We start from the raw sequence: 5,884 nt of genomic DNA on the forward strand, positions 1-5,884 counted from the left end.
TGTGGTGGGATGATTGTTTGAGACAGGAGTTCGAGGCTGCAGTCAGGCATGATTGCAGCACTGCACTCCAGCCTGGGAGACAGAGCAAGCCCTTGTCTCTTAAAAAAAAGAGGGGGCAGGAGAGAAGGGCAGAGTGATGTGATGTGAGAAAGACTCACTCGCCATTCACAAAGCCATTGTGGGCTTTGAAGATGGAAGAAAAGGCCGTGAGCCAAGGCAGGCAGCTGGAGAGAAGCTGGAAAGACAAGGAGTGGATTCTCTGCTGCAGCCTCCAGGAGGAGCCGGCTCTGACGACACCTTCATTTTAGCCCAGTGACACCGTGTTGCACTTCTGACCCGAAGAACTATAAGATTATAAACTTGCGGCCGGGCACGGTGGCTCTTGCCTGTAATCCCAGCACTTTGGGAGGCCGAGGCGGGTGGTTCATGAGGTCAGGAGATCGAGACCATCCTGGCTAAAACGGTGAAACCCCGTCTCTACTAAAAAAATACAAAAAATTAGCCGGGCGTGGTGGCGGGCGCCTCTAGTCCCAGCTACTCAGGAGGCTGAGGCAGAAGAATGGCGTGAACCCGGGAGGTGGAGCTTGCAGTGAGCCGAGATTGGGCCACTGCACTTCAGCCTGGGCAACAGAGCGAGACTCTGTCTCAAAAAGAAAAAAGAAAAAAGAAAAAAAAAGATTGTAAACTTGTGCTGTTTTAAGCCATTAAGTTTGTGATAATTTGTGACAGCCACCATAGGAAATGCATTGAGATTTGTAGTATTTTGCGGGGTGAAGAGGAGGGTGAAAAGGAATGGACAAGCCTGTCAGGTCCCTGGATGGAGATTTAATGACGATGCCAAGACTATGGATCCTAGTGAGAATCCTGCATCCCCCGTGCCCTACAGCTACCAGGGAGATGAGGCACTGGGAGAGTTAGTACTCGGCTGGTGGTTTTGTGCCCTCTGGGCCTAGAAAGTATGTAATGCTGCCATCCCTGTATGCGCAGAAAGATGGTTAATGCAGCCCCACTCAGGGCAGTTTGGGGGCTTACCTGAATTTCCCCACTGGGAGCCTCTCTCCCGACTTAACCTCAACAGAGGCATCTTCTTCCAAGTGCTGCTTGTAACTCAGCCCCCAGTGCCTGAAGACACACCTTCAGCCTCTCTCCTGACGTTCCCCTGCCTTTCCAGGAGGCCCTGGAGGGAAGGACCCCACACTGGCTCTCTGCTGAGTGGCCCAGCTCTGGCCTATGGGACACGTGTGCGTTTGCCTTGCCCAGCACACGTTGGGGCTGCCACCATTCCCAGAGCAGTGCAGGCTCTTGGCGCCACCACCCAAGTGCCCTGTCAATTTCCAGGGCAGGAGTCAGAGCCCCATCTGCAGGTGACTCTGGCTTTCTCAAGACTGAGTTGACACCTGTGCTCTCAGCAAACATGTTTCTGAGCACTCTTGAACTCACTTGCTAAGCTTGGCTTGGAAAGTGTGAAGGGAGAGCTGGGGTCCGCAGCTGGAAAGACTCTCACCTCCTGCCTCTCTCCTGAACCCATTTGATGTCTCTCCTCTGGCCAAGGGGTAAATCTGCACATGTAAGTCTCATACACTTTGGCTCTTCATGGAATTGGTCCCTGTAGAAGCCGGGCCAGAAAGAATCTAGCACCCTCTTGCACTACAATTTATTGAGCCTTTACTTTGTGTCAGGCACCGTTCTAAGCAGTTTATATCTAAGATTGGATGGATTTCCACCACTCCTATTCCCATTTCGAGAAAGAGTACCCTTTCCCAAGACAGGAAAAACAGCCAGGGCCATAAAGGAGGGCCTTTTGTGACATCATCAGAAGTGGAGAAGAGGTACCCAGATCCCATTAGCAAAGTGCAGCCGAAGAGTCAAGCTAAGTTCACTGTGTCCCTTGCGGCATTGCCTTCCTCAGTGCTGGCTGCCATCATACAACCCCATAGCTTGTGTGGCTTAAACAGCAGACATTTATTTTCTCAGTGTTCTGGAGGCTGGAAGTCTGAGATCAGGATGCCAACATGGTCAGGTTTAGGGAGGGCTCCCTTCCTGGCTTGCAGACAGCTGCTTTCTCACTGTGTCCTCACATGGGCAGAGAGTGAGTGAGAGCAAGCTCTCTGGTGTCCCTAGTCCCTCATCGAAACTTCATTACCCCACGAAGGTCCCATCTCCAAATACCATCACGTTGGGGGTTAGGGCTCAACATATGTATTTGGGGGGACATCATCTGGTCCATAGCAGGCACTGTCCGGGTCAGAAGGCCTCCCAGGGATTTGGTCCTGAGGCTGGCTGTGGAAGGTGCCCTTGCTTCATCACCTCTGCACCTGCTCCACTGTAAGAACTGGGCAGACAGATTGGCAGCTTAGGCCAAGCAAGATAGATGGTACGGAGGCTCGACAGGAAGGTTTCTGGAGATCAGGAAGATAGGAATTAAGGAAGGTGAAGAGGAAGAAAAAGGGACTCCATGAAGAGGAGAGGGTCTCTAAAAGCTGGAAACATAAGTGAGGAGGTGAGAACCAGTCTGAAGCACCCACCTGTTAACTGGTGGGGGCAGGAAGGTGTTAGAGGAGCTAGGGAGCTGACCAGACGGGAGGAACCCTTCCCATTCTTCATGGAGGCAGATTATCGCTGGTCTGCAACTGGCATTCTTAGAGTTAGGAATCACTGTGTCCATTTTTCTAGACTTCTCTTATTGGTGATGATTTGACCTTTTCCTCTTGCACTAATGAGCAAGGTGGAGGAAAGAGATCTCTCTCTCTCACACATATACTATCTCACTCAATGCCCACCAATCCTAAGAGGCAGGAACAATTGGGTTACGCCATAGTGAACTGCCCTTCTGTAGGTCAAAATTTAAATGTAGGTGATGTCACAGAGTTTAACCTAGTATTACCATCAATGCCATTATACAGATTAGGAGACTGAGGCTTCGGAAGGTTAAGTCATTTGCTCAAGCTCACACATTTGGTGAGTCAGGGAGCTTGGATGTGAACTGGGGCCTAACTCCCAAACCTGCTGTGGTAGGCTGCCATCCATGGAAACAGGGGTTCCTGCGGGAATGTGTAAGAGATGAGGTTGGTAAGTATGACTTTTAGATGCCAGGAGTTGACCTGTGTGGCTACCAATGGGAAGCCCCTGAAGACAGAAAGGTAGGGTAGCAAAGTAGAATCAACAGGGAAGGGATGAGGAGGCCGGAGGGTAAGTAGGCCACTGCGAGATCAGGACGAAATTTACTGGGATCGTGAGATGCTGGAAGGAAGGATCAGAGAATCTGGGACCATGCTCTGCATCTTTTTGCTGCAATAAATGGTATTGCATGAGATACCATTTATTGCCATGTGTCCTCATTGTAGTCATTTTTGTAATTTATATGACAAGAAAAAATGACAGGGTGATTTTTACATATGTGCATACCTATTTACACACCTTCCAGATCAGGAGTGGTGATCTGAGCTCACTAGATATGCTCAATTAGGTAATAATCAATTCAGGTCATCAAATTGATCACCCAAATCAATTTAGGAAATTGATGACCTCAATTAAGGCAAATATATACAATGAAATATATGCAGCTGTTAGAAAGGGCTAGATCCCATATACTAAAATGGAAAGAAAGCCCTTTGAAACCTAAGAAAACTGTGTTTCCATTATGTGAGTAGAAATCTTGTGTACACAGAAAAATGGTCTTTCTTCTTCCCCTCCCCTCCCCTCCCGTCCTCTGAGACGGAGTCTTGCTCTGTTGCCCAGGCTGGAGTGCGGTGGCGTGATCTCGGCTCACTGCAACTTCCGCCTCCTGGGTTCAAACTATTTTCCTGCCTCCTGAGTAGGTGGGACTACAGGCGTGCGCCACCATGCCCAGCTAAGTTCTTTGTATTTTTAGTAGAGACAGGGGTTTCACCATGTTGGCCAGGCTGGTCTTGGACTCCTGACGTCAGGTGATCTGCCCGCCTCGGCCTCCCAAAATGCTGGGATTACAGGCATGAGCCACCGTGCCCAGCCAGAAAAATGGTCTTTCAATTGGAAATGTAATTCCAGAGAATAAAGAATAGAACCACACTGTAATATGACAAGTAATAACACACACAAGCGCTAAAGGATTTTTTTTTTTTTTTTTTTTTTGCCTCCCGATATCTGAGGGGCAGGCTCCGTGGAGCCTCCAGGCTGAGAGGCTGAGACTGGCAGAGCAGGCTGGGTTCTGGATTCTGATACTCCTGGGCAGGAGTGTCTCAAAGATTGAGACATTATGTTCATTCTTTGGGGCTCCTGTTCTTGGCACTATATCTAGCACATAGTAGTTGCCTCATAAATACCCATTAAATAAGAGCAGAACTAAACACATCTGGTTAGAAATTGTTCCTAGGCAGCAAGGAACCAACACGTGGAAAATATGGGGTTTCTGGAGCAGTGTTAATGCAAGCCAGTTCCTGTAATGTACATAGTGACACCTACTGCCAATGACACGTGCTGGAGCCCTTCCACTGTTGATTTCCTATATTCACTTACCCTTGTCTTTAAGTGGATGTTGGTGGAAACTTGAGGATACATCTTTGTGCAGCAGACAGCATTTGTAAGTAAATCTGTGTAGGCTTAGGGCCACATTGATAAAAATATATGAGAGTAAACATATACAGAAGCTGTTTTAAGAACTTCTGATGTCCTAGATGCTCTGATTTCTGGAAGCTCCATCCCACATCGTAGCAAATATATTAAAACACTCTCATATTCTCTAAATACTCTTAAATAATGTGAGTGTTAAAACAGTAGTTTCATTTGAAATTATTTGATGTTGCGGAACTCACTTTCTAATGACTATGACTTCCCGGCAATCACGGCATTAGGGAATTCATACCAAGTGATGTCTAAGTTATAGTTTCAAAATATAATGAAACATTTATCCATCAATACATTACAATTATGAAATTAACATGTTTTGGGGACCTTCATTTAAACATTTATTAATCTCAGATTTGCAGTATACTTTTTGTATTGTGCAGTCAATAAAATTTTCAGTCTCAAACATTTTCATAGGTCCCTGAAAAGCTCAACGCAAAAAACAGCCCCCATGTGTGATTCTCTACTGGGCAATAAAAGCCAATCGCGACCCTCATTTTCCCCCCATTCCAGGGCTTCCCCAGGATAGAACGCGGAAACGCTTCTTTTTCCGTTTCCAGGGATTTCTTTCTTTTTCCAGTGTCGTTCTCCCTCTCCCCCACTTCATTTTTACAATAAATGTCAGTGCACACCCAGGAGCGGGTGGTCCCACAGGGGACATCTTAACGCCCACCCAGGAGCGGCTGGTCCCACAGAGGACCTCTTAACGCTGACGCTTTCTGGAGAAAAGGATTTGTGATGAAAATTTCCCCAAGGGGACCTTCTAGCGCCTAGCACCTTCGATGCTCCTGTTTCAGTCGCGGTCTCAGCGGGCAGTGGCCTCCTTTGAAGCTGGGATTCTCCTGCCCCTCCCGGGCAGCGCAGGCCACCGGTGACCCGGGACGGTCTGTAAACGACCTTCGCGTCCCCGTCCCCGTGGAATAACGCGCGGCGGGCATCACTGCCCAATATCCAGCGCTCGTGAAGGCGGAGACCGGCGGGGCAGCTAGTTTCTGGCTGTGGATTCTGATTAATGGGCCGCAGGCGCACGGTCTGCACCGTCCGGCTCGTTGCTAGTGGCTCGCTCGGGAGCCGCCGCACTCCCGGGGCTGTCCGCCCGAGCCGGCCTGGAAGGCGGAGGACGCCTCCAGGTCGCTCCGCGGGGCCTCCGGAATTCCTGGGAAAGCCCCCCTGCAGCGCCGCCCCTGGACCCCAGGTGTGAGGAGCGGGGCTCGGCCAGCGGCTCCAGAAGAGGCCCGGACCCCACTGCCGTGGCTGCCGGGGGCGGGAAAGTGATTTCTCG

At 49.5% G+C, this 5,884-nt stretch overlaps 1 annotated feature.

Annotated features, from left to right (window-relative positions):
• Window positions 5,645-5,874: a silencer, noted in NCBI's record as "silent region_7826". NCBI's record gives its function as "represses an Ori minimal core promoter by ATAC-STARR-seq in GM12878 lymphoblastoid cells {active_cell/tissue: GM12878}" and the evidence as "EXISTENCE:reporter gene assay evidence [ECO:0000049][PMID:35858748]".

The sequence above is a fragment of the Homo sapiens genome, chromosome 16 (genome assembly GCF_000001405.40).
Source record: "Homo sapiens chromosome 16, GRCh38.p14 Primary Assembly".
Taxonomy (NCBI): Eukaryota; Metazoa; Chordata; class Mammalia; order Primates; family Hominidae; genus Homo; species Homo sapiens.